General features: G+C 48.0%; 2 protein-coding genes across 11 annotated transcripts in view, besides 6 other annotated features; one reads left to right on the top strand and one right to left on the bottom strand.

Moving 5' to 3' along the window:
* Positions 782-1,547: an enhancer, noted in NCBI's record as "H3K27ac-H3K4me1 hESC enhancer chr1:33168605-33169370 (GRCh37/hg19 assembly coordinates)". NCBI's record gives its function as "activates a minimal SCP1, AML or CMV promoter by ChIP-STARR-seq in naive H9 embryonic stem cells {active_cell/tissue: H9 hESC(naive)}" and the evidence as "EXISTENCE:reporter gene assay evidence [ECO:0000049][PMID:30033119]".
* On the top strand, positions 958-24,645 carry SYNC (syncoilin, intermediate filament protein). 8 transcript variants are annotated; one of them, XM_047431210.1, is made up of 5 exons: positions 958-1,000; positions 8,507-9,686; positions 20,169-20,293; positions 20,462-20,541; positions 22,691-24,645. In XM_047431210.1, the coding sequence occupies exons 2-5, from the start codon at positions 8,718-8,720 to the stop codon at positions 22,699-22,701; spliced, it is 1,185 nt and encodes a 394-aa protein (XP_047287166.1). In that variant the 5' UTR covers positions 958-1,000; positions 8,507-8,717; the 3' UTR covers positions 22,702-24,645. The 8 variants fall into 8 exon arrangements, with proteins under 8 accessions (XP_047287166.1, XP_024305781.1, XP_047287186.1 ...); XM_047431230.1 differs by lacking the exon at positions 958-1,000 and adding an exon at positions 1,572-1,601; NM_030786.3 differs by lacking the exon at positions 958-1,000 and adding an exon at positions 1,781-1,943.
* Positions 1,232-1,321: a silencer, noted in NCBI's record as "silent region_606". NCBI's record gives its function as "represses an Ori minimal core promoter by ATAC-STARR-seq in GM12878 lymphoblastoid cells {active_cell/tissue: GM12878}" and the evidence as "EXISTENCE:reporter gene assay evidence [ECO:0000049][PMID:35858748]".
* Positions 1,372-1,421: a silencer, noted in NCBI's record as "silent region_605". NCBI's record gives its function as "represses an Ori minimal core promoter by ATAC-STARR-seq in GM12878 lymphoblastoid cells {active_cell/tissue: GM12878}" and the evidence as "EXISTENCE:reporter gene assay evidence [ECO:0000049][PMID:35858748]".
* Positions 1,548-2,313: an enhancer, noted in NCBI's record as "H3K27ac-H3K4me1 hESC enhancer chr1:33167839-33168604 (GRCh37/hg19 assembly coordinates)". NCBI's record gives its function as "activates a minimal SCP1, AML or CMV promoter by ChIP-STARR-seq in naive H9 embryonic stem cells {active_cell/tissue: H9 hESC(naive)}" and the evidence as "EXISTENCE:reporter gene assay evidence [ECO:0000049][PMID:30033119]".
* Positions 9,130-9,868: an enhancer, noted in NCBI's record as "H3K27ac-H3K4me1 hESC enhancer chr1:33160284-33161022 (GRCh37/hg19 assembly coordinates)". NCBI's record gives its function as "activates a minimal SCP1, AML or CMV promoter by ChIP-STARR-seq in naive H9 embryonic stem cells {active_cell/tissue: H9 hESC(naive)}" and the evidence as "EXISTENCE:reporter gene assay evidence [ECO:0000049][PMID:30033119]".
* Positions 15,209-15,709: an enhancer, noted in NCBI's record as "H3K4me1 hESC enhancer chr1:33154443-33154943 (GRCh37/hg19 assembly coordinates)". NCBI's record gives its function as "activates a minimal SCP1, AML or CMV promoter by ChIP-STARR-seq in primed H9 embryonic stem cells {active_cell/tissue: H9 hESC(primed)}" and the evidence as "EXISTENCE:reporter gene assay evidence [ECO:0000049][PMID:30033119]".
* Positions 18,340-24,999, bottom strand: part of RBBP4 (RB binding protein 4, chromatin remodeling factor) — a 35,004-nt gene continuing 28,344 nt past the window's right edge. For all 3 annotated transcript variants that reach the window (NM_005610.3, NM_001135255.2, NM_001135256.2), the window contains exon 12: positions 18,340-24,911. In NM_005610.3, coding sequence (NP_005601.1) covers positions 24,846-24,911 — 66 coding nt within the window. In that variant the 3' untranslated portion in view covers positions 18,340-24,845. The remainder of the gene's footprint in view (positions 24,912-24,999) is intronic.

Genomic DNA, 24,999 nt, shown 5'->3' with positions numbered 1-24,999 from the left:
GGATCACCTGAGCCCAGGAGGTTGAGGCTGCCGTGAACCATGATTGCACCACCGTACTCCTGCCTGGATGACAGAGTGAGACCCTGACTGCAAGAAACAACAGCAACAAAAAAAACAACAACAAAGGCTTGGAGGTGGGGAAGTTTCTGGGACCCTGGGGAATTCAGGGTTTCAGCCTAAAGAAGCGCTGAGCAGGAGGGTAGGAGCGGGTCAGAAATTCAGTCCTAGGGACAGCCTAAGGCCAGGTCCTGGGCTGGGGGTTGGAGGGGCAGAGCCAGCTCTTCTGAATGCCACCCTTGCCGCCTGTTGCTTGGTACCACAGCAAACAGAGCCTCTGGCAGGCCTGCCCTTGCTGCCTTAGCTCTCCTCTGGCGGGCAGCAGATGTCAAATGCCCAGCAGCTGAGGCTTCGCCAGCCTCCTCCCCTGGAATAGTTCGGGGGTAAGTCAGAAAATGACCAGCAGCCTCAAAACCTGGCTTTTTCTCGTGCGTACCTTACAAGGGTATATTTGGCTGCCCTGGGTGTTAAATCTTCCACCCCCTTGCATTAGACAGAGAAATATAAATATACAGCCACAGGCAGCACACTCAGACGCGAGGATGAATGAACATTTATCAACCCCCAGTCACGCACAAGCACACAGTCAGAGTCACAAGCGGGACCATATGCATGCCCCCCACACAGAGTCAAAACCGCCAGCCCCACAAAGACACTCCACCATGGCACAATCACCACACACATTCACCCTGAGATCACACAATCACACATCCACATGCTCACACACAGACATGTACCCCACAATCACCGCAGAGTCACACAGGGGCACACAAGCCCACACACATTCAACACCACGGCATGCTTCCCCCACCGGCCTCCCAGGCACCCCAGCCCCTGGGGCTTGTTATGGTGCCAGCATTCTTCTGCGATTGAGTCAAAGACCTCCCCAGACAGGGTAGCTAAGTGGAAAAAGGAATCCGAAGGAAGAACGCCTGAAGCCCAGGTCTGGGAAGGGGCCCAGCAGCTTCTCTCTTGGGGAGAAAGACGTCAGTGCTGGTTTGACCCTCACACTAGTGGGCTGAGGACGTGGGGGGAGGTATGTCTTGAAGTTGACAGAAGTGGGCTGAGTGGGGTGACAGGTGGAGCAGGAGAGAGACCCCAGGAAGCCTCAAAGGGTGGGGCAGAAAGTGGGGTTAAATATGGACTCAATGTGATAGGCGTAAACTCCTCCGCAGTTCTCTCTAACCCCAGCCACCCAGCCCGCCCCCAGGCTCCAGGCTGTCCCCAAACGCGCGGGGTGTGGCCGTGAACCCTCCTCCCCGGCCGCGCCCTGCCCCGCCCTTCACGACAGCTGCCGGGGACAGCCCGGAGTGCCCAGAGGGTGGCTGCGGCCCTTCCCCTCTTGGGTGGGGACCAGAGGGCGCTGAGCGGCAGCGGACACCCCCAAACACTCGCGGGAGAGGGGTGCTGGCTCCCTTTGAGCAGCCCGCCCAACCCTGCCTCCACCCTCCCAGGCTGGACAGGGAAGGTGCTCCCTGGGGCTTCAGACCCCCCTTCTGACTCCCCCTGCAACGGGACCTCACGAAAGGAAGGGTGGAGAGAAGGTTCGGGAAGACGAGGGGGCTGGGAGGTTTGGAAAGACAGCTCCAGGCCCCCGTTCCCACCCCCGCCCCAGGCTGGTCCGGGAGGGGCAGCCTCTCCCCGCCCCCAGGTCCGCGCGGCCGCTCCCTCCTCCCCCGGCAGGAGCCCCGGCCAAGTGGGCGCGCCCGGCCCGGGGCCGGCCGGGATCCGGTGTCGGTTGCAGCTGGCAGTGCGGCGGGCGCGGGCGCCGGAGCGAGGGGCCCGCGGGCCCGGCTATTAATAACGCGGCCGCCAGCCCGGGGTCGCGCAGCCATGGCCAGCCCGGAGCCCCGGCGCGGCGGGGACGGCGCCGCCCAGGCCGCGAGGTAGGACAGTGCCGGGCCCGCGTCGCCGCCCCGCTGGGGAAGGGGTGCTGCTGGACGGGTTCCCTTTCCCCCCGACCGCGGGCGTCTTTCGCCTGTCTAGGGGTAGTGGTCCAGCCGGGGTGGGGCACTGGAGCCGCCTCGTGAGGGGACATCGGGGAGTCGGGCCGTCCCGGGGTCCTGGCACCTCCGTTTGTCTGTGGCTTTTTATAATACCCCTCCCCCTCCCGGGACTACATGAAAATTAACCCTTCCAGGCGAGTGGGCATCCACCGCTCAAGTGCCATTTGGCCCATAGCAGCCAAAGACACTTCTCGCTAGCCTTCATTCCTCCCTGCAAATGTCAGTTGGAGACAGAGGCCTCCCCTGCTGAAGTGGCTGTGTGGAAGCCACTTGGTGCAAGGCTGGGCATCTGCCAGCTTGAAGTTAAGAGTCTGTCAGGGCTTGTTCTCTCCCGTCTGGCCTGGGATGGGTGGGGGAAGGGTCCAGGGGCCCTCCCCACTATCCCTCCTGGCAGGGCACGGCTGATTATTGGGGGAAGGGACCTGTGGCTGAGGGGTTTGGGGTGAGGTGTATTTCTGTCCCAGGTCATACTGTGGCTCTGGGACTTCCCAGTGTACCAAGAGGTGAGGGTGCAAATACATAGCTCCCGACACCCCTTCACTGTCACACAGGGGCACAAAGCTGAGCGGTCTTACACACACACACTCACCCATACTGCTGTCCACACCTACAGCTACAGTCAGACACACGGACTCTTGCCTGCACAATGTCACATGGACTCCCAGCCACATCCCTGAACAGGGTTGGAGAGCTCTGCGGTTCTCTGGGGACAGGGACAGAGTGGCAGAGGCAGGCTGCCCAGGGCCCAAGGAAGCCCGAGGTCAGGGGCCCCAACTAAGCTGGCTTCCTCTCCTCTGAGCCTCCTGTCATCTGCTTCTTTCCCTCCTCTCTCTGTTTAAAAGAGGCGGCTGTGTGAGGGCAGCACCCAGCAGAGGCCTGGCACCATGGGTGGGGTGGTGGAGGCAGCACGATGTGTGCTAACAGCACAGCTTGGAGGTCAGGAGGCCTGGGTTTTACTTCCAGCTTTGCCATTCGACCTTGGGCAGATTTCCTCCTTGGAGTTCATCTGGTTTCTGCCTGTCTGCCCTTACAGAGCCCCACCCTAGGATATAGAGCAGAATGAGAACTCTGCTTGTCCTTAGGAAACTCACTATCAGGGAGACAGACACATGTACTTCTGTAACTGGAGCAATAAGTGTGAAGATGTGCTGCATACAGAGTGCCCTGAGAACACACATGGGGCTGTCTGGGAGATACTTTACGGAAGAGATGAAGTTTGAGCAGGGCTTGAAGGATGAGTAGAAATTTGTTAGATAGATAGAAGTATATTGTGGGCCCGGCGCGGTGGCTCACGCCTGTAATCCCAGCACTTTGGGACGCCGAGGTGTGCGGATCACCTGAGGTCAGGAGTTCAAGACCAGCCCGGCCAACATGGTGAAACCCGGCTCTACTAAAAATACAAAAATTAGCCAGGCGTGGTGGCGTGTGCCTGTAATCCCAGTTACTTGGGAGGCTGAGACAGGAGACTTGCTTGAACCCAGGAGGCAGAGGCTGCAGTGAGCGGAGATTACACCATTGCACTCCAGCCTGGGCAACAAGAGTGAAACTCCATCTCAAAAAAAAAAAAAGTATATTGTGACTGCTGCATGCCAGGCTTTTTATATGTGCTGTAGTTACCTCTTTTGGACCTCACGCCTATCCTAGGAGGGTGGTAAATACTGCAGGCCTTCTCCAGCCTCCACCACTTACAACAGTTGTGGAACCTTGTGTGAGTTCTTACTCTGTGCATTGGCTTCCTCATCTATAAAATGGAGATAATAGATGAAGATTCTTTCTTTCTTTCTTTTTTTGAGACAGAGTCTTGCTCTTGTTGCTCAGGCTGGAGGGCAATGGCGCAATCTCAGTTCACTGCAACCTCTGTCTCCCAGGTTCAAGCAATCCTCCTGCTTCAGCCTCCTGAGTAGCTAGGATTACAGGCACACACCACCATACCCAGCTAATCGTTTGTATTTTTAGTAGAGACGGAGTTTCACCATGTTGGCCAGGCTGGTCTCAAACTCCTGACCTCAGGTGATCCACCCGCCTCGGCCTCCCAAAGTGCTGGGATTACAGGCGTGAGCCACTGCACCCAGCCAATAGATGATGAGGATTCTATAAATGAGTATTCATGTAAAATGCCTAGAATAATCTTGAACACGGTGAAGTCATTCCAAGGTGGGCGGCTCGGCACGAGAATGATGAAAGGGCCGTCTGCTGGGAAAGCAGGGACTGTTGAATATCAGAGTGAGTTTGGCTGGCTGAGCAGGTGCATCCTTCCTGGCCCTGGCTCTAGGAGCTCTGCCTTCCCAGGTAGTACAGGGTTCTCTAGTTAGGTGGTTTTTGAGAAGCTGCAATTCTCAGCTGGACACCGTGGGCTTAGAGTAGGAGGTGTAAAAAGTTAATGCAAGCTCTAGGATGTCAAGCATTGGGTGGGTTGCAGGAATAATGTGAGAGGAAGCTAAAAAAGGTATGTTTGGGGCCGGGTGTGGTGGCTTATGCCTGTAATCCCAGCACTTTGGGAGGCCGAGGCAGGCGGATCATGAGGTCAGGAGTTCGAGACCAGCCTGACCAAGATGGTGAAACCCTGTCTCTTCTAAAAATACAAAAAATTAGCCAGGCATGGTGGTGGGCGCCTGTAGTCTCAGCTACTCGGGAGGCTGAGGTAGAGAATTGCTTGAAACCAGGAGCCGGAGGTTGCAGTGAGCCGAGATTGCACCACTGCACTCCAGCCTGGGCAACAGAGCGAGACTCTGGCTCAAAAAAAGAAAAAAAAAAAAAAAGGTATGTTTGGGCCACATCTTTAAGGACCTTGAAACCATGCGTAGCAATTTGGGTATTTATTGGTGAAGTGGAGCAATAGTTCACTCTGTGTTGTAGCAAGTTAACTGTGGTGGTGTAGAGAATAGATTGAGGTGAGGAGAGGAGGAAGTCCTTTTAGAAGACCAGGACAAAAGTGCCAGTGAGACAGGATGTCTTGGAGTAGGGCCCTGATAGTGGGATGCAGAAGAGGGGGATGGAGACTGTAGTCTTTCTAAGATAGAAAGGTCACTTTTTGGCCAGGCGCAGTGACTCGTGCCTGTAATCCCAGCACTTTGGGAGGCCATGATCCCTGGTGGATCACGAGGTCAGGAGATTGAGACCATCCTGGCCAACATGGTGAAACCCTGTCTCTACTAAATACACAAAAATTAGCCAGGCGTGGTGGCAGGCACCTATAGTCTCAGCTACTCAGGAGGCTGAGGCAGGAGAATCACTTGAACCCAGGAGGAGGAGGTTGCAGTGAGCTGAGACCACGCCACTGCACTCCAGCCTGGGCGACAGAGTGAAGCTCCATCTCAAAAAAAAAAAAAAAAAAGAAAAGAAAAGTCACTTCTCAGTGAACTGGCTATACAGGGGAGGGAAAGAGCTGTCTGAAGATTTCTTGCCTGTGGCCGGATGTGGTGGCTCATGCCTGTAATCCCAGCACTTTGGGAGGTCTAGGTAGGAGGATCGCTTGAGCTCAGGAGTTTGAGACCAGCCTGAGCAACATAGTGAGACTTCATCTCTACAAAAAGTTAAAAAATTAGCGGGTGTGGCGCTACGTGCCTGTAGTCCTGGCTACCCGGGAGGCTGAGGCAGGAGGATGGCTTGAGCCGGGGAGGTTGAGGCTGCAGTGAGCTATGATCATGCCACAGTACTCAGGCCTGGGCGACAGAGGGAGACTCCATCTCAAAAAAAAAAAAAAAGACAAAAACAAAAAAACAGAAACAGGAAAGACCAAAGCTATTTGCATTTGAGGGGCAAAGCAGCAAGAGAACACTCCCCAGTGGGAACTGACTGAGCTGGCAGGCAATAGGCAGCTGGGTCAAAGAGCTCAGATGTCAGAATGATGGAATCTGACTTCAAGAGCGTTTGACAGGATAGAAGGGTGGGCCAGTTCTAACAAGATGAACTTTTACAGAAACAAGAAATGTTGCTTACAAGCACTTGGTATGAAAAACTTTTTTTTTTGATACAGAGTTTGGTTTTGTTGCCCAGGCTGGAGTGCGGTGGCGCAATCTGGGCTCACTGCAAGCTCCGCTTCCCAGGTTCACACCATTCTCCTGCCTCAGCCTCCCGAGTAGCTGGGACTACAGGTGCCCGCCACCACGCCTGGCTAATTTTTTTGTACTTTTAGTAGAGACGGGGTTTCACTGTGTTAGCCAGTATGGTCTCGATCTCCTGACCTCATGATCCGCCTGCCTCAGCCTCCCAAAGTGCTGGGATTACAGGCGTGAGCCACCACGCCCGGCATTTTTTTTTTTTTTTTTTTTTTGAGATGGAGTCCCGGTCTGTCGCCCAGGCTGTGGTGTGATCTCGGCTCACTGCAACCTCTGCCTCCCAGGTTCAAGCGATTCTTGTGCCTTAGCCTCCCGAGTAGCTGAGATTACAGGCATGCACCATCATGCCCTGCTAAGTTTTGTATTTTTAGTAGAGACGGGGTTTCACCATGTTGGCTAGGCTGATCTCGAACTCCTGAGCTCAGGTGATCCACCCGTCTTGGCCTCCCAAAGTGCTGGCATTACAGGCGTGAGCCATCTCGCCCAGCCCTGGGGCACTGTTTTTGATACCCATCCCAATTTCTAGCTCTTGGGGAACTTAAGAATAAAGGCAAATTAAAAAAAAATCCTCAAAAGAGTGACAGTCTGAAAGCTGTCATTTGTGTCACAAGGATATGACACAAATGAAGAGGGCACTGGAAACCTGGACATGTATGGAATAACAAAGATAAGCTGGGTTTTTTTTGTTTTTTTTTTTGACAGGGTCTCTGTTGCCCAGGCTGGGGTGCAGAGTGGTGCAGTCATGGCTCAGCACAGCCTCGACCTCCCAGGCTCAGGTGATTCTCCCACCACAGCCTCCCAAGTATCTGGGACTACAGGTGTACACCATCATGCCCAGCTAATTTTTTGTATTTTTTTGTAGAGATGGGGTTTCGCCATGTTGCCCACGCTGGCCTTAAACTCCTGGACTCAAGAGGTCTTGGCCTCCCAAAGTGCTGGATTACAGACATGAGCCACCGCACTTGACCACGGTTATCTTTTTTTTTTTTTTGAGACGGAGTTTCGCTGTTGTTGCCCAGGCTGGAGTGCAATGGTGCAATCTCGTCTCACTGCAACCTCTGCCTCTTTGAAGTTCAAGAGATTCTCCTGCCTCAGTGAGTATCTGGGATTACAGGCATGCACCACCACGCCCGGCTAATTTTGTATTTTTAGTAGAGATGGGGTTTCTCCATGTTGGTCAGGCTGGTCTTGAACTCCCGACCTCAGGTGATCCGCCTGATTCGGCCTCCCAAAGTGCTGAGATTACAGGTGTGAGCCACCACGCCTGGCCGACCATGGTTCTCTTTAAGTGTTTAGATAACTTACACAGAAAAGAAGGTAGAAATATCTGATCCTAGAAGGAAGAATCAGGTAAATCCAGTGGCTAAAAGTTACCAGGAATTGCTGGGCATGGTGGCTCAATGCCTGTAATCCCAACACTTTGGGAGGCTGAAGAGGGCGGATCACTTGAGGTCAGGAGTTTGAGACCAGCCTGGCCAACATGGTAAAACCCCATCTCTACTAAAAATACAAAAATCAGCTGAGTGTGATGGCACGTGTCTGTAGTCCCACCTACCTGGGAGGTGGAGGCTGAAATGGCACCACTGCACTCCAGCCTGGGTGACAGAGCAAGACTCCATCTCAAAGAAAAAAAAAAGTTATAAGGAAGGTTTTACCTCAACATTATAATTTTATTAGAACTGGGCTGGGCGCAGTGGCTCATGCCTATAATCCCAGCACTTTGGGAGGCCGAGGCGGGCAGATCATGAGGTCAGGAGTTTGAGAACAGCCTGACTAACATGGTGAAACCCCATCTCCACTAAAAATACAAAAATTAGCCGGGCGTGGTGGTATGTGTGCCTATAATCCCAGCTGCTCAGGAGGCTGAGGCAGGAGAATCACTTGAACCTGGGAGGTGGAGGCTGCAGTGAGCCAAGATCGCACCACTGCATTCCAGCCTGGCAACAGAGCAAGACTCCGTCTCAAAAAAAAAAGGCGTGGTGGTGCTACTTGGGAGGCTGAGGCAAGAGAATCGCATGAACTGGGGGACAGAGGTTGCAGTGAGCCGACATCACGCTATTGCACTCCAGCCTCGGCAATACAGCGGGACTCCATCTCAAAAAAAAAAAATTATTATAATTGTGGAACAAACAGTGGTGCCTCAGGTATGTCGAGTCCTTGGAGCTGCATAAGCAGAGACCATATGGTGATGTCGCTGGGATGCTGGCAGGGGATCTACACCGTGGTTGGGTGTGTGGAGGGGTGGATTGACAGAGTGGAGGGAGCAGACGAATGGCTGCTGACATCTAAGAACCTGAGGTAGTCTAGGCCCATGGCTGCTGGCTCCAGAATTGCACCATCCTGGGATTGTGGCTGCCCTTTCACTTTCAATCATTTCTTTTGCAGGAAAACAAGAGTAGAGGCCAATTCTCCTCTTCCAAAGAACTCTGGATCCCTAAATGAGGCAGAAGCCTTGAACCCAGAAGTTACTCTATCTTCAGAGGGGTCCTTAAACCTCGAAGACATTCTCTACCTGGAGGACACAGGTGACCTTGATGAGACACTCTATGTGCAAGAGACTGAGAAGGCAGAGGAGGCCCTGTATATTGAGGAGGCCATGCAGCCAGATGAGGCTCTGCATGTGGAGGAGCCTGGGAATCCAGAGGAGACAGTGTGTGTGGAGGAAACCACGGAGCCAGATCGGATACAGTTTGTGGAGGGGCCCGTGGAGCCAGGAAAGCCCACAAGCCCAGAGCACGTTGTTTATGAGGGAGAGACAGTCACAAGGGCGGAGAAATCTAACCCTGAGGAGAGCCTCAGAGCCGAGCAGAGCCCCAGCATGGAGGAGAACCTGAGCATAGAGGACCTGGAATTGCTAGAGGGGCGTTTCCAGCAGTGTGTCCAAGCTGTGGCCCAGCTGGAAGAGGAGAGGGATCAGCTCATCCATGAGCTTGTATTGCTCCGGGAACCAGCCCTGCAGGAGGTACAGCAAGTCCATCAAGACATCCTGGCTGCCTACAAGCTCCATGCCCAAGCAGAGCTGGAGAGAGATGGCCTAAGGGAGGAGATCCGGCTGGTCAAGCAGAAGCTTTTCAAAGTGACAAAGGAATGTGTGGCCTACCAATACCAGCTGGAGTGCCGCCAGCAGGACGTGGCTCAGTTTGCCGATTTCCGGGAAGTGCTGACTACAAGGGCAACCCAGCTCTCAGAGGAACTGGCCCAGCTCCGGGATGCCTATCAGAAGCAGAAGGAGCAGCTGCGGCAACAACTAGAAGCCCCTCCAAGCCAGAGGGATGGGCACTTTCTCCAGGAAAGCCGGCGACTCTCTGCCCAGTTTGAAAATCTCATGGCAGAGAGCCGCCAGGACCTGGAGGAGGAGTATGAGCCTCAGTTCCTGCGGCTCCTAGAGAGGAAAGAAGCTGGGACCAAAGCTCTGCAGAGAACCCAGGCTGAGATCCAGGAAATGAAGGAGGCTCTGAGACCCCTGCAAGCAGAGGCCCGGCAGCTCCGCCTGCAAAACAGGAACCTGGAGGACCAGATCGCACTTGTGAGGCAAAAACGAGATGAAGAGGTGCAGCAGTACAGGGTAGGCCCATTGGGCATGAAAAGAACTGAGGTCTTTTAACCTGGGGAAAGAGTGGCCAGAGTCCAAGGTCTTTGGGGCTGAAAGATAGTGTCACATGTAGGAAGAAAAATTTGTTCTTTGGGGCCACGCAATTTTTTCTCCATTCTTCATTCATTCAGGCCCATGCTAGGGACTAGAAGTTATCTGCACTGTTTTTTGTTTTTTTTTTTTTGAGATGGAGTCTCGCTCTGTCGCCCAGGCTAGAGTGCAGTGGTGCGATCTCAGCTCACTACAAGCTCTGCCTCCTGGGTTCATGCCATTCTCCTGCCTCAGCCTTCTGAGTAGCTGGGACTACAGGTGCTCACCACCATGCCCGGCTATTTTTTTGTATTTTTAGTAGAGTCGGGGTTTCACTGTTGTTAACCAGGATGGTCTGGATCTCCTGACCTCGTGATCCGCCTGCCTTGGCCTCCCAAAGTGCTGGGATTACAGGTGTGAGCCACCGCGCCCGGCCTGCACTCTGTTTTTTTTGCGACAGGGTCTTGCTGTCACTTAGGCTGGTGCAGTGGCATGATCACAGCTAACTGCAGCCTCGACCTCTCAGGTTCAAGCGATCCTCCCACCTCAGCCTCTTGAGTAGCTGGGACCACAACTGTGCACCAACATGCCCAGCTAATTTTTTCTTTTTTGAGACAGGTGCAATCTTGAGGGCTCACTGCACCTCAAACCTCTTGGGCTCAAGCGATCCTCCTGCCTTAGCCCCCAAGCAGCTGGGACTACAAGTGTGTGCCACCATACCTGGCTAATTTTTTGTAGAGACAGGGTTTCACCACGTGGCCCAGGCTGGATTTGAACTCCTGAGCTCAAGCTATCCGCCTGCCTTGGCCTCCCAAAGAGCTAGGATTATAGGTGTGAGCCACCGCAGCCGGCCAATTTTTGTATTTTTTGTAGACAGGGTTTTGCCATGTTGCCCAGGCTGGTCTTGAAATCCTGGGCTCAAGTACTTTTAATGGCAAAAGCTGCAATTAATTTTGCACCAACCTTAATAGAATCCTCTCATCTTCACTTTCCTTTTATGTGCATTTGTCCCCATCTCTCTTGCATTCAAGTTATTTCTGATTAAGTGTGAGCCAGTTCTAATCCCTTTTTAGAACAGAGTGGGATATAAATACTAAGTGAATAAACAATTACGTAGTCCCTCCTAGACTGTGAACTTTCAGAAGGTAGGGAATACATTTTACTTATTGTTGTATTACTCTCTGCTACTCAAGGCTCAGAGCACATGTGCTGCTGGGCACTAATGAGAAGACTGTAGTGTGGTGCTCTAAGCAGTACTTTAATCTTTTGAAACACTGATTCCTTTGGATAAACTTAGAAATCTATGTCTTCCCAGAGATTGTGATATGCCCTTAAGGGAACAAGTTTCCCTGTTGAAATGGCTGCATTCACTTCACTGAAGATTTTGTCAAGCTTTCTGTAGTTTGTATTATGAAAACACTCTGTCTGGGAGCGGTGGCTCACGCCTGTAATCCCAGCACTTTGGTTGGGAGGCTGAGGTGGGTGGATCACAAGGTCAGTAGTTTGAGACAAGTATAGCCAATATGGTGAAACCCCGTCTCTACTAAAAAGACAAAAATTAGGGGGGCATGGTGGCACATGCCTGTAGTCCCAGCTACTTGGGAGGCTGAGGCAGGAGAATCGCTTGAACCCGGGAGGCGGAGGTTGCAGTGAGCTGAGATTGCACCACTGCACTCTAGCCTGGGTGACAGAGTGAGACTCCATCTCAAAAACAAACAAAAACAAACAAACAAAAAAAAAACACTGTGGTTTTTGGGGTCATAATACTGAATGTTTTTTATTTTTATCTTTATTTATTTATTTTTGAGACAGAGTCTTGCTCTTTCACCCAGGCTGGAGTGCACTGAACCAATCTCGGCTCACTGCAAACTCCACCTCCCGGGTTCAAGCAATTCTCATTTCAGCCTCCTGAGTTGCTGGGACTACAGGTGCCCGCCACTGCACCCAGCTAATTTTTTGTATTTTAGTAGAGATGGGGTTTCACCATGTTGCCCAGGGTGGTCTCAAACTCCTGAGCTTAGGCAGTCCACCCGCCTCAGCCTCCCAGTTATTTTTACAGAGTCTCGCTCTGTCACACAGGCTGGAGTGCAGTGGAGTGCAGTGGCATGATCTCAGCTCACTGCAACCTCTGCCTCCTGGGTTCAAGCAATCCTCCTGCCTCAGTCTCCCAAGTTGCTGGGATTGCAGACCTGTGCCACCATGCCCAGCTAATTTGGGTATTTTAGTAGAGATGGGGTTTCACCATGTTGGTCAGGCTGGTCTCGAACACCTGACCTCAGGTGATCCACCGGCCTCAGCCTCCCAGTGTTGGGATTACAGGCGTAAGCCACCACACCCAGAAGTAATACTGAATGTTTTTAAACTCTTCATATTCCCCTTACCCTATTTTTTAAAAAATTGGTTCACAGTCTAGTGAAAAGTCATTTATTTAGCATCAATACTATCCTTAACAGCCAATACTCAGACAGACATTACATTAATAGTTGTATCTCAGAGAAGAAAGTAATAGGTGATTTATGAGAGGTGCAGGTAAAAGGGCTGTGGGATAGATGATGATGATGATGATGATTATTATTTTTTGAGACGGAGTCTGTCACTCTTGCCCAGGCTGGAGTGCAGTGGCGCTCAGCTCACTGCAAGCTCTGCCTCCCGGGTTCGCGCCATTGTCCTGCCTCAGCCTCCCGAGTAGCTGGGATTGCAGGCGCCCGCCACCGCACCAGGCTAATTTTTTGCATTTTTAATAGAGACGGGGTTTCACCGTGTTAGCCAGGATGGTCTCCATCTCCTGATCTTGTGATCCGCCCGCCTCGCCTCTCAAAGTGCTGGGATTACAGGCATGAGCCACTGCGCCCGGCCGGGATAGATTATTTTTAGGCGCTGGTTAAATCAGAGAACTCTTCATGAAAAAAGAGGTGGAATTTGAGCTAGGTATGAAAGCATAGGGAGAATCTAGACCAGTGCTGCCCAACAGAAATATAATGCAAGTCACATAAATAATTACAAATTTTCTAATAGCCACATTAAAATAGGCAAAAATTCAGCTGAGCTAAGCCTGAGGGGAGCAGGGGAGAAAAGATATAGGTAAAATTAATTTAAATATATTTTATCTAACTCAACATATCTGAAATATAATTAGTAACTTGGCTGCAGGTGACAAGCTTGAGTTTTGGACTTTATTCAGTAGTCTGCTGCATCATTAAAGGGATTTAATCAGGGAAGTAACATGATTGCCTTGCTACTTTTTTTTTTTTTTCTGAGATGGAGTCTCCCTCTGTCACCCATGCTGGAGTGCAGTGGCACGATCTCGCCTTGCTGCAACCTCCACTTCCCAGGTTCAAGCAATTTTCCTGCCTCAGCCTCCCAAGTAGCTGGGATTACAGGCGCCTAACACCATGGACGTGGCTAATTTTTTTTTAGTCGGAGTCTCTTCTATTGCCTAGGCTGGAGTGCAATAGCGTGATCTCGGCTCATTGCAACCTCTACCTCCCGGGTTCAAGCAGTTCTCCTGCCTCAGCCTCCCGAGTAGCTGGGACTACAGGTGCACAGTGCCACGCCTGGCAAATTTTTTTTGTTGTTTTTTTTTGTTTTTTGAGAAGGAGTCTCGCTCTGTCACCCAGGCTGGAGTGCAGTGGCATGATCTGGGCTCACTGCAACCTCTGCCTCCTGGGTTCAAGCGATTTTCCTGCCTCAGCCTCCCGAGTAGCTGGGACTACAGGTGCATGCCACCATAGCTGGCTAATTTTTTCTATTTTTATTAGAGACAGTGTTTCACTATGTTAGCCAGGATGGTCTTGATCTCCTGACCTCATGATCCACCTGCCTCGGCCTCCCAAAGTACTGGGATTATAGGTGTGAGCCACTGAGCCCGGCCAATTGTTTGTATAGTAGGGACGGGGTTTCACCGTATTGCCCAGGATGGTCTTGAACTCCTGAGCTCAGGCAGTCTGCCTGCCTCGGCCTCCCAAAGTGCTGGGATTACAGGCATGAGTCACCACGCCCGGCCCTAATTTTCGTGTTTTTGGTAGAGATGAAGTTTTACCATGTTAGCCAGCTGGTCTTGAACTCCTGACCTCAGGTGATCTGCCTGGCTCGGCCTCCCAAAGTGCTGGGATTACAGGCTTGAGCCACTGCCTGCCTCTCTACTTTTTTTTTTTTTTTTCTTTGGAGATGGAGTCTTGCTCTGTCACTCAGGCTAGAGTGCAGTGGCATGATCTTGGCTCACCGAAATCTCCGCCTCCCGGGTCAAGTGATTCTCCTGCCTCAGCCTCCCAAGTAGCTGGGATTACAGGTGCCCGCCACCAGGCCTCGCTAATTTTTGTATTTTTAGTAGAGATGGGGCTTCACCATCTTGGCCAGGTTGGTCTCCAACTCCTGACCTCGTGATCCACCCGTCTCGGCCTCCCAATGTGCTGGGATTACAAGAAGTACTGGTGGCAGGATATAAAGTGGGCTAGAGATGCAGAGCAATGGAGAATAATTAGAAAGCTACTCTAAGGAAGAGGTTAAGATGGTTTCAGATTTGACGATTTGTGCATCTTCCCAAGGATTGTTTTCCAAAGATAATCTTATGACACAAAGTTTTAAAAAGAATATTCAGAAGTCTATCTAATCTCTATCAAATGAATCTTTCTCTATTGAGAGGAAGTCTTGGTCTTCCTGCCTCAGCCTCCCGAGTTGCTGAGATTACAGGTGTGAGCCACTTTATCTGGCCTGATACACTCTTGGTAGTATAATAGCTTCTCTTGTTGCTATACCATCATTAAAGTAGGAAGCAAGGTCTGAGGTCCCTAATTTTTCTTTCTGAAATGGCTTCCTAAACTGTTTGCTAAAGTTCTATTTCATCAACTTACTTTTTTTTTTTTTTTTTTGTGACGGTGTCTCACTCTGTTGCTAGGCTGGAGTGCAGTGGCACAATCTTGGCTCACTGCAACCTCTGCCTCCCGGGTTCAAGCGATTCTCCTGCCTCAGCCTCTCAAGTAGCTGGGACTACAGGCTCACGCCACCACGCCCAGCTAATTTTTGTATTTTTAGTAGAGATGGGGTTTCACCACGTTGGCCAGGATGGTTTTGATCTCCTGACCTTGTGATCTGCCCGCCTCGGCTTCCCAAAGTGCTGGGATTACAGGCATGAGCCACCACGCCCGGCCCATCAGCTTACTTCCTAAGGGTGTCCCTTTAATCCTTAGGCTGCACTCCACTCTTAACGTTGCCTCTATCATCACCTTCATCAATTCAACAGTTTCTAAGTGCCTAATTACTGTGGGCCAGGCAGTGAGCTATGTGCTGGCAATAGCAATTAGAAATAGTATGTGTGGCCGGGCGCAGTGGATCACAAGGTCAGGAGTTCAAGACCAGCCTGGCCAAGATGGTGAAACCCTGTCTCTGCTAGAACTACAAAAAAATTAGCCAGGCATGGTGGTAGGCACCTGTAATCCCAGCTACTCAGGAGGCTGAGGCAGAATAGCTTGAACCTGGGCAGCAGAGGTTGCAGTGAGCTGAGATTGTGCCACTGCAATCCAGCCTGGGTGACAGTGACTCACCTCAAAAAAAAAAAAAAAAAAAAAAAAAAAAAGGCCAGGCGAGGTGCCTCACGCCTGTAATCCCAGCACTTTGGGAGGCCGAGGCGGGCGGATCACGTCAAAAGATCGAGACCATCCTGGCCAACATGGTGAAACCCTCATCTCTACTAAAAAATACAAAAATTAGCTGGGCGTGGTGGCATGTGCCTGTGTTCCCAGCTTCTCGGGAGGATGAGGCAGGAGAATTGCTTGAACCCGGGAGGCAGAGGTTGCAGTGAGCCGAGACTGCGCCACTGCACTCCAGCCTGGCAACAGAGCAAGACTCCGTCTCAGAAAAGAAAAAAAAAAGTGTGTGTGTGTTGCGGGGTGGGGGTAATGCTCCTGCCCTCAAAGAGTTTGTACTCCAGAGGCCGGGTGCAGTGGCCCATGCCTGTGATCCCAGCACTTTGGGAGGCAGAGGCGAGTGGATCATGAGGTCAGGAGATCGAGACCATCCTGGCTAACACGGTGAAACCCTGTCTCGCTAAAAATACAAAAAATTAGCCGGGCGTGGTGGTGCATGCCTGTAATCCCAGCTACTCGGGGGCTGAGGCAGAATTGCCTGAACCCGCAAGGTGGAGGTTGAGATCGCGCCACTGCACTCCAGCCTGGGCGACAAAGACTCCGCCTTAAAAAAAGTTTGTACTCCAGAAGGAAGCATAACAGACAAAATGAATGTATTTCGTAAAATCTAAGCACTGTTGATTTTAACATGCATCCTGATCAGAGATGTTAAAATGTGGCAGTCTTGGCATCAATTAAACATATTTCAATGTTATAAGCACTGTAATAGCTGTAGTGATAAGGCACTGTCCTGATGAAAACAGGCATGACTACCCCAGCCTGGGCAAAAGAGGGGACATTTCATAGATCAACAATAGCTAGTATGTACTTGAAGTTCTTTACACAAAATAATTCCTTTAGTCCTTACATCTCTATGAGTTAGGTATAAGGCATTTGAAAAATAAGAAGACAGAGGTAAGGCAGAGCAGTGATTTGCCCAGGGTTAGGCAGCTTGAGAGTGATGGAGCGAGGATGTAACTCCTGAACAATCTAGCTTGAGTCCATACTCAGGCTCTTCAAGATGCTGGAGCTGAACCTTAAGAATGAATTCATGCCAGGAGCAGTGGCTCACACCTGTAATCCCAGCACTTTGGGAGGCCGAGGCAGGTGGATCACCTGAGGTCAGGAGTTCAAGACCAACCTGACCAATATGGTGAAACCCCGTCTCTACTAAAAATACAAAAATTAGGCCGCCTGTAGTCCCAGCTACTTGGGAGGCTGAGACAGGAGAATCACTTGAACCCAGGAGCTGGAGGTTGCAGTGAGCCAAGATGGTGCCAGCGCACTCCAGCCTGAGCGACAGAGCAAGACTCCATCTCAAAAAATAATAATAATAATAATAATAATAATAATTCACTGGGCAGGTAAGGGAGAGGTCTTCCAGACAGAGGGAACAGCTCATACAAAAGCATGGAAACACAAAAAGACATGTTTTGGGAAGTGAGCTTAGTGGTGGAATCACAAGGAATGTTAACTAGATCCAGCTGGGACTAAACATTTTTTTCTTTTTTTTTTTGAGACGGAGCCTCGCTCTGTCTCCAGGCTGGAGTGCAGTGGCGCAATCTTGGCTCACTGTAACCTTTGCCTCCCGGGTTCAAGTCAATTCTCCTGCCTCAGCCTCCTGAGCAGTTGGGACTACAGGCGTGTGCCACCATGCCCAACTAATTTTTGTATTTTTAGTAGAGATGGGGTTTCACCACGTTGGCCGGGATGGTTTTGATCTCTTGACCTCGTGATCCACCTTGGCCTCCCAATGTGTTGGGATTACAGGCGTGAACCACCGTGCCTGGCCTACTAAACACTTTTATGGTTTTTTTTTTTTTTTGAGATGAAGTCTCGCTCTTGTCCCCCAGGCTGGAGTGCAATGGCACGATCTCAGCTCATTGCAACCTCCGCCTCCCAGGTTCAAGCAATTCTCCTGCCTCAGCCTCCCGAGTAGCTGAGATTACAGGCACCTGCCACCACGCCCGGCTAATTTTTTGTATTTTTAGTAGAGGCTGGGTTTCACCATGTTGGCCAGGCTGGTCTCGAACTCCTGACCTCAGATGATCCACCCGCCTCAACCTCCCAAAATGCTGAGATTACAGGCATGAGCCACTGTGCCTGGCCAGTTTTATGTATTCTTTAGACTAGTGGTTTCCAAAACTAAAGTTTTCTCTAAAGCTGTGGACCTTCTCCCCCAGATAATTTTACATAGAATGCAATATATAAAGCAGTTAAAAGCGGAGTTATTCTCTAACGGAAAAGTACCAAGGGCACTCCAATTTGGCCAGCTTTTGGGGTTGCACAGAAAAGTTTGAGAACCACTAAAAAGCCTGTTACCTTGAGTATGAGCTCTAAGCCAATGGCAAATCCTGGCTCTATCACTAAGTTGGAAACTTTGGACAAATTACTTAAGCTCTGTGGCTCAGCACCCTCACATGAAACATGAGATTAATAATACTCCCATATCCATAGGGTTGCAAGGAATGAACTAGTAAGCCACTTTCCCACAATTCCATGACTATACATTGATTAGACCTCTTCTTCCCCTTTAACTCTTTACTCATCCTTTAAACCCATTTCCCTTCTTCCTGAAGTTTCCCGATATCCTTAGTGTGCGACAGATAACCCTCCTGTTTCCACAGCACCTGTTACTTTATACTACTATTGCTGTAGCAGTTCCCCTTTTCCTGAGTTGGGGAATGTATCCTTTCTTTGTCTTTGTCCTATGTAGAAAATTAAAACTGGCAATGCTGTCAATGCAAGTGCTGGGGCAACTGTAGACAGACATGTCCTGGCCCTTGAGAAATTAGTATCTAGGTAGAAGGCAGCAGAAAACAAGGGACTGGCTGTCTAGGTGAAAAAAGTGGCAGGAACACAGGCACACAGATCTGAGTTGTTAGGCTAGAGTAGTGCTGTCTATCACTGCAAGCAAGCCACAGATGTCATTTTAAATGTTCTGGTAGCTCTATTAAAAAAAGAAACAGATGAAATTAACTTTAATGCATTTTATTTAACCCAACACATATATTTCAACATGTAATCAGTATCAAATATTTTTGACATATTTTACATTTTGTGTGCTGTCTTAGAAATCTGCTGTGTATTTTACACTTACATTACATCTCAATTGAGACTAGTCATATTTCAAATGAGTCCTATGTGACTAGTGACTTCGGTACTAGTAGTCCAGGGCTAGAGGAAAATGTTCATACGGAAGAGTAACAGAGGTTCAAGTTGGAGGTAGGGGTCAAACTAGAGGGGGTCTGAATGCCACTAAAGAAAGTGGAAAGCCTTTGAAGGATTTTGAGTTGATTGTAAAGTTAATCTAGTGGTTAACACAGGATTAAGAGACCATCCTTAATGCCACTGTAGCAATCCTTCCTTCATTTCATTGAGGCTGTTCCACTCTGTCACAGCTTATCACTGGTGGTGCAGACTGCTTTTCCAAGCATGTACTTTTGTACCTTACCAACGGGTCTGGTAGGTAGTGAGGACTGAGCAATCAGGACAGCAGTATGCAGATGCTTCCCTCTTCAGATGACACACTCTTAGGCATGGCTGGGCACTAAAAAAGGTCCTTTGACAATGTTGGTGAAAGCTGAGATTCAGCCAGAGTATCAAACAGTGCGGATTGATGTGCCACAGGTACAATGTCAAGTATGACTCAGAGGACAAATTATCTAGATCCTTCTAATAATAGCATGTACCCCAACAACTGGATTCCTTAGTATTCTTCAAAATCTGAGGTAAAATCACTCTCGCTTTAAAAGATACCAACTTCACCCCTTCCTCTCTTCCCAACTCCCTCCTGCTTCCTTAAGGATCCATGCCAGCTAGCAGGTAAACCAGAGACTGACTTGCTGACATCTTCCTTACCTTATTCCTCAGGTATACATCCTAGGCAGGGAAAATTTACAGAATGCATCCCAGCCTGATTCTGGAAGAATGAGAAAGTTATCTGAGGGCTCCCAAGGGCCTCCTGTGCATACCATCTTTATCTTCCAACTTAGAACTAACCAAATTCAGTCTTTTTGTGTAATGAAAAAAGGATAAGCTGGGCACAGTGGCTCACACCTGTAATCCCAGCACTTTGGGAGACCGAGGCGGGAGGACTGCTTGAGCCCAGGAACAAGACCAGCCTGGGCAACATAGCGAGACCCTGTCTCTATACAAAAATAAAGAAGAAAAAAGGATGCAGGAAATTAGCAATAGGATAGCCAACACCCTCACTAAAGCATCAATTTCCATATGATGTTAAGTACCAGGTAGAAATCTCTCTGACTTTAAGGAGCTTTGGACACAAAAACTTTTCCTTAAACAAGCCATTTATTTTCTAAACATGGACTTCCACTAGTTGTGTAACTCTCCTAGAATTCTAGCCAATATTTAATAATTGTTGCCACACTTTTGTATTTCAACTTAAGTATTTTATATTATTAAAAACTACCAATTATCTTAACAAACCTGCACATGGAGGGAGAGGTATATGAAACTCAGCCCACTAACTAGACCAAAATCCTCCTCAATGACACTAAGGTTGTAATACTAAAAAGTCCCAATCACCCTCCCAGGATTCTATTAAAGCAAGCTGTGGTTAACAGACAAGATGCCTTTTTCGTCATCATTTTCAAAAGCATTGTCACTTTTTTTCCAAGACACAACTTCTTTGAACCTGTTTCATAACCTATCATATAAATACCAGCCTCAATACTGCTATCAAGATTAAACAATGAACAAAAAAGTGTTTTATAAGTAAGAGTGGACAATGTGAGTTTTTATTGTTTGGCTCATTAGAAATGTTCTTGGCCATCTCATGCAGGAACAGCTGGAGGAAATGGAAGAACGCCAGAGGCAGTTAAGAAATGGGGTGCAACTCCAGCAACAGAAGAACAAAGAGATGGAACAGCTAAGGCTCAGTCTTGCTGAAGAGCTCTCTACTTATAAGTCAGTTTCTGCTGCTATACAAATCTCATCTAATACTGGCTGAGGGGATGGTGGGAGGGCTTAGGGAAAATTTTACCTTAGAATCAAAAACAAAAAGAGGATTTGGGAAATGATTTTCAAATTGTGCTTATCCAAAAACACATGGAAAATGGCTCTCTCTTTTTAAAGGGCTATGCTACTACCCAAGAGCCTGGAACAGGCTGATGCTCCCACTTCTCAGGCAGGTGGAATGGAGACACAGTCTCAAGGTGATCTTTGTGAAGAGAAGAGTGGTGTTTGCATTGTTACTGCTTTCCTAACAATACTAATTAATGCCTTAAAAACAGGCCGGACGGGGTGGCTCACGCCTGTAATCCTAGCACTTTGGGAGGCTGAGGAGGGTGGATCACCTGGAGTCAGGAGTTCAAGACCAGCCTGGCCAACATGGCAAAACTCCATCTCCACTAAAAATACAAAAATTAGCCGGGCATAGTGGCAGGCACTTATAATCCCAGCTACTCAGGAGGCCAAGGCAGGAGAATCGCTTGAACCAGGAGGCAGAGGTTGCAGTGAGTCAAGATCACAATACAGCACTCCAGCTTGTACAACAGAGTGAGACTGCCTCAAAACAAAACAAAAACCCAAAAAACAAAAACAACAAAAAACCCTTGTGTGCCTAATGACAAGGGGATAACCCAAACCTCCAAAACGCCTGAGTCAGGCATTCAGAGTTCATTTGGAATGTTTGTTTCTAGTAGGACTCAAAATATGCCCTGATTATCACCATGAATTCTGTGGCATCTAGGCTTTGGGCATCTTGTTTCCTCATCCTACCCTACCCACCTGCTATTCTCAGTTTTCCTTATAATAGCAGAGAAAGCAGTTGTGCTATCAAAAATAATAAACATATCTATCCATTAAGTTCCTTATATAATATTCAAAGGCTGTGGTTTTGGGTGGAAGCAGAGATGTTCATGTTACACAGACTTACTCTTTTTTTTTTTTTTTTTTTTTGAGACGGAGTCTTGCTCTGTTGCCAGGCTGGAGTGCAGTGGCGTGACCTCTGCCTCCCGGGTTCAAGCGATTCCCCTGCCTCAGCCTCCCAAGTAGCTGGGATTATAGGCACGCACCACCACGCCTGGCTAATTTTTTTGTATTTTAGTAGAGACGGGGTTTCACCATGTTGGCTAAGATGGTCTCATCTCCTGACCTTGTGATCCACTTGCCTCGGCCTCCCAGAGTGCTGGGATTTCAGGTGTGAGCCACCATGCTTGGCCTAAACAGACTTAACTTTTAGACACTGACAAAACTGAAGGCATCTTTCTGACCAATCACCTACTCAGGATCCCTCCCCCAATGTTTTACCAGTATATTCTGATAAAAGTTCTAGAGTCCGTGAAAGAAACTAAGGATAAAAGAAAGTCCGTGTCAAGTTGTACATTATACAGATGCCTATAAATTTTATTCATTTCCTAAGCTTACATCAAATTCACAACTTTCTTTTTTTTTTGAGACAGTCTCGCTCTGCCACCCAGGCTGGAGTGCAGTGGCACGGTCTCAGTTCACTGCAACCTCCACCTCCTGGGTTCAAGTGATTTTCCTGCCTCAGCCTCCTGAGTAGCTGGGACTACAGGAGCATGCCACCACGGCCAGCTAGTTTTTGTATTTTTAGTAGAAACGGGGTTTCACCATCTTGGCCAGGCTGGTCTTGAACTCCTGACCTTGTGATCCACGTGCCTCAGCCTCTCAAAGTGCTGGGATTACAGGCGTGAACCACCGCGCCTGGCCCACAAGTAACTATTGTTGCTTTTTCTAATTTTCTAGGATTTTATTTTTTTAAATTTCTTTTTAGTAGAGATGGGGGGTCGGGTCTTGCTATTTTGCCCAGGCTGGAGTAGTGGCACGATCTTGGCTCACTGCAACTCTGCCTCCTGGGTTCAAACAATACTCCTGCCTCAGCCTGCTAAGTAGCTGGGATTACAGGCATAAGCCATCACACCCAGCCTTGAGGATTTTCTTATACTGTGTTTGAATCCACATGACTGATAATATGCTTAATGTTTGAGAAATTATAACCTTGCAATTGAGGTTAATGATCTACTAACTACCTTTGTGTTGATCAGATTGTGTACAATCTGGAAAAGACAACGACTAATCCAAAGAAATGAAACTACAGAATTTCAGGCATTGTAATTATACCTGTAAGAAGTTAACCTAGCAGAGAAAACGTTTAACTATCCCTCCCATCACCATCACCATTCATTCTATTTGACAAACAGGAGGCATCCAAATATTTGCTAGGGGAAAGTCATCCCTGATCATCCATAAATCACACTGTAACAATCTCTTCTCAACAAAGCCTGCAGTAACTAAACCTCAGAAGTTCACTGTTATAAACTTTTTCTTTCAACTTTACAGGGGCTGTTTAGAAATATATGGCCAAATCTGTAACCCGGAAACAGCAAAAAACTTCTTAGCAAAGGATCACTAAGTACCCTTTGGATGTACTCTTCCAACCAGACAAGAGTGCCAGAAACTTGGCAAGCAATTCATCCTGTGGAAGTTGCAAATACTGGCTGACCTGCTTAAAAAGATTCTAGAGTTGGCCGGAGGCAGAACATGTCAACTCTTTGCTGGATTCTATTTCATCTGCTGTTGATACTGATCTCAATGCACCAAGGAAAGGAAAGATGAGCCTCCTGTCTTCCAGCAACAACCCTCACATATGCACTGAGTGAAGGATGAATGTATGGACACATCTGGGAGTATTTTAAAGAATGTATCTTGCCTTGTGTTGACCCAAACCAAAAACATTTTTGAGGGGCACATGTGGGGTCAAAAAGATAGCCAATTTCCATTACATGGGTTTACAATTTCCATTCTTTTGTGCCACGAGTGTTAGAATTTAAATGAATACTTTTACAAAGTCTACTTTTTGTTCAAGGATATGCTGACCCATATAGTTTACTCTTAAAATTGTGTCAAGGTATTTCTCACTATACTCTAAAACAACTAGACTTGAAAAGAAACCATTTGAGATTTGAATCTAATGGTTAACGCTATTCAGATTTTCCCAAAGATCTTACCTCATGAAAGTAGTTCTGGGTCAGAATGATCTACTCAGTTAAAAAACAACAACAACAAAAAACTAAGCGATTGGGAAAAAACAGGAATTTTATCTGGTTATTGCATCTGGTGATAGAGGCCTTCAAAGCCTATTATTTCTAACCTAAGTAAAGGCCCCAGTGAAAAACATACTGGGGAAATAAAACCTCTGAGAAAAGGTTCAAGCACCTTTTCCAAATTTAAATCTTGCCTTAAATTCTCTCTACCACACTGCCTTTGACACTCTTGGAAGTCCATGTAGTTCTCTACAGATAGACTTCAAAGAAACGTTACCTTATCAAAGACTAATCTGTGCCACCTCTGATTCAGTGTTTTATGTCTTTCACTTTCCCTGGGAAGGAGTAAAGTTCTTTTCTACAGCTCTGGGACTATTACATTTAATTCTGCTCTTGATAGTCAAAGACCATGGACAACAACTGTCATCTGAAGGACTCTTCTAGAAGCCAGAGACTGGTGTTTGATGGATGTTTTATACTAAATAAAACCCATCAGCATGGGGTTATGTAGAAAAGCAATTTATTCCATTTTAAGCACTTACACAGTTAGTCATGGAGAGTAACAGGCCTGCTGGTGAAACAGGTCACCCAAAATGGAGATGGCATCAAACTAGTGGTCAAGGACTAACTCCTAAAAAAAAAAAGCAACTCTTATCAAGGATTAATTTAATTTTTAAAACAAATACAAGTTATTGATTCACTCTTCTCAACTTGACAGTCTACCTGTGGTATAACTGTCAGGTAAAAACATACATCTTTACAACTTGGTGGTCCCAAGTTAAAAAAAAAAAAAAAAAAACCAACAACAAAAAAAAAAACACCATTTCACAGACAGGAAATAAACAACATGAAAACAGCTCAAGAAATACACTAACGAGCAAAAATATATGAATATATGGGGAAAGAGGAACGTGTTGTTTTGACTTAACTGAAGAAACCAAGAGGAAACTGGTCTACGTATGAAAATGTGCATCCTGGAAAGTCAGGTGTCAAGATTTTCGAGTAGGAATCTATATGACTTGAATCTCCCCCTATTTCCTGAATAAAAGTGACATCTTTCAGTATTTATACTTCATGGCTCAGACACCTACCTCATTTGGCTCTATTCCTTACTCACTCTAGCCTTTACTTAAATGAGTCTGAAAAACTTGGGGATATAGCATAAGAAGAAAAATAATCACACATAATATTCCCCTTTCTGTAGCTACTTTAGACCTGGGTTACTAGAAAATTCCTGAAGAAAATTTCAACGTTAAGTCTGTGGCTTTGTTGAATCAAGCCCCCCTATTAATATTTAGAAAACACCCACGGTTTGGGCTAATAGCATTATCGGTGGTACCTATTATATAGAGGGATAGCTGAATAAAGTCTGTCTCAAAACCAGTGTTAAATCACTCTCAGGGTTGAGAAGAAAAAAGGGGAGTCTAAAATCACAACAAGTAAAGACATATCTAGGACCCTTGTCCTTCTGGATCCACGCTTCCTTCAGGGTCTTCATCATTATAAATGTTCTCTGCCTGCCCAAAAACAAGAAAAAGAATTTAAACATGAAGACTTCTTCTAAAACTCAAGGTTTCAACAACAGATTAGGCCAGGAAGCCAGAG

This window comes from Homo sapiens, chromosome 1 (genome assembly GCF_000001405.40).
Source record: "Homo sapiens chromosome 1, GRCh38.p14 Primary Assembly".
NCBI classification, from domain to species: domain Eukaryota; kingdom Metazoa; phylum Chordata; class Mammalia; order Primates; family Hominidae; genus Homo; species Homo sapiens.
This window is presented reverse-complemented; position numbering and strand designations above follow the sequence as displayed.